General features: G+C 50.3%; 1 annotated feature.

Moving 5' to 3' along the window:
- Positions 1,266-1,766: an enhancer, noted in NCBI's record as "H3K27ac hESC enhancer chr7:114373209-114373709 (GRCh37/hg19 assembly coordinates)". NCBI's record gives its function as "activates a minimal SCP1, AML or CMV promoter by ChIP-STARR-seq in primed H9 embryonic stem cells {active_cell/tissue: H9 hESC(primed)}" and the evidence as "EXISTENCE:reporter gene assay evidence [ECO:0000049][PMID:30033119]".

Consider the following 1,978-nt stretch of genomic DNA (forward strand, 5'->3'; position numbering starts at 1 on the left):
CATGGAGTCAAAGGAGATCATTTTGTAGCTTTAAGATTTGACTTCCCCTCTAGATTTCAGACTTGCATGGGGCCTGTATTCCTGTTGTTTGGCCAATTTCTCCCATTTGGAATGGCTGTATTTACCCAATGCCTGTACCCCCACTGCATCTAGGAAGTAACTAACAGGCTCATAGGTGGATGGGGCTTGCCTTGTCTCAGATGAGACTTTGGACTCTGGACTTTTGAGTTAATGCTGAAATGAGTTAAGACTTTGGGGGACTGTTGGGAAGGCATGATTGGTTTTGGAATGTAAGGATGTGAGATTTGGGAGGGCCAGGGTTGGAATGATATAGTTTGGCTTTGTTCCCACCCAAATTTCATCTTAATTTTCCATGTGTTGTGGGAGGGACCTGGTGGGAGGTAATTGAATCATGGGGGCAAATCTTTCCCATGCTGTTCTTGTGATAGTGAAAAAATCTCACGAGATCTGATGGTTTTAAAAAGAGGAGTTCCCCTGCACAAGCTCTCTCTCCTTGCCTGGTGCCATCCATGTAAGATGTGACTTGCTCTTCCTTGCCTTCTGCCATGATTGTGAGGCTTCCCCAGCCATGTGAAACTGTGAATCCAAGTAAACTTCCTTTTTTTTTTTTTGTAAATTGCCCAGTCTTGGGTATATCTTTATCAGCAGTGTGAAAGCAGACTAATAGAGGGAGGATATTTCCTGTGGATGTATCTATGGTGTTGGTTGGGTAGAGCACTTTGGCTTTGATTCTGCATAGGTTTAGTAGTAGTAGCACAGTCTCTGTATGATTTCTTTGGTTGCAAATAGCATCAGTGGTGTCTGTGATTTCCTTGGTAGTTTAGGGTGTGGTTGTTAGTGGAGGCTGTAGTGAAGTTTTACTGGGGACTATGATATCAGGTGGACCAGTATTTGGGCCCCTGTGGTGGCAGCAGTGTGCTGATCATGCCCATTCTTGGGCCCCAGGATGGCATACATTGGCAACGGTGTTAGTAGGACCAGGCAGGCCAATTCTTGGGTCTCCATGTGGCTTGCTCAGGTGTTGGGAATGGTAGCAGTGGGGCTATGTGGAAGAGCAGATTCTTTAGACCCTAAGTAGTGGGCATGGCATGAGCAATGTCAGTAGTAGTGGTGGGGCAACCCTCTAGAATCCACATAGTCCATGCTGGTATAGGCAGTGGCTGCAATGGGCTGGATGGGCCAGTCCTCAAGCCTGCAGGTAGTAGGTGTGGGTGAGTGCCAGCTCTGGTGTTGGTGGCAGGTTGTGTGAGCCTGACTCCAGACCCTGGAAGGTGTGGTCAGGTGCCAACAATGGTGGACTGGGCTGGGCGAGGAAGGCAGAGCCGGGCTTAGTGTACCTGTCTTCAGGCCCCCCTGTTAGTGCATGCAGGCACTGGTGATAGTAGGCAGGGGCAGGGTGATCATAGGCTGCTGGTGGAATGCTCAGGTGGGGGCAGTAGCAGGTGTGTGTGGCCCGCCGACTGAAAAATGTGGGGGTTGCTTTCAGTAGCTGTAGCTAGGTGGCTGGGGGCATATGCTTTGCTGAGGCCTCACAGCAAATCACAGCTGTAGAGGCTGTGGGAGGTGGAATTTGTCCTTAGGATGCATAAAAATGTGCAGCTTCTCCTCTACAATGGGGAGGGAGGAGGAGAAGGGTCACTGTGGCTTCTGCCTTGGCACTGGCAGCTGCAACTGTGAGAGGGGAACGTCAATGAGCCTCTAGGGATGTGAAGATGCAGTGGGGAGCTGTTGCGCCCTGGGGCAGGACATAGTCTGGTCCGGATTGGGTTTTCAAAATGGTGCTCTACTGTAGCTGCTTAGGTCTTGGGGGTTTGTGGGACTCAGCGAGATGTCTCTCTCTGGAGCAATGCCATTGTACGACCTCCAGGCAGCTCTCTTTGTTAGTCTTAGAGCCCTTGAGGGTTAATGGGGCTGTCCCATGGCTAGGACTGTGGGAGTCCAGGGTGGGAATGTGAAC

The sequence above is a fragment of the Homo sapiens genome, chromosome 7, assembly GCF_000001405.40.
Source record: "Homo sapiens chromosome 7, GRCh38.p14 Primary Assembly".
NCBI lineage: Eukaryota > Metazoa > Chordata > Mammalia > Primates > Hominidae > Homo > Homo sapiens.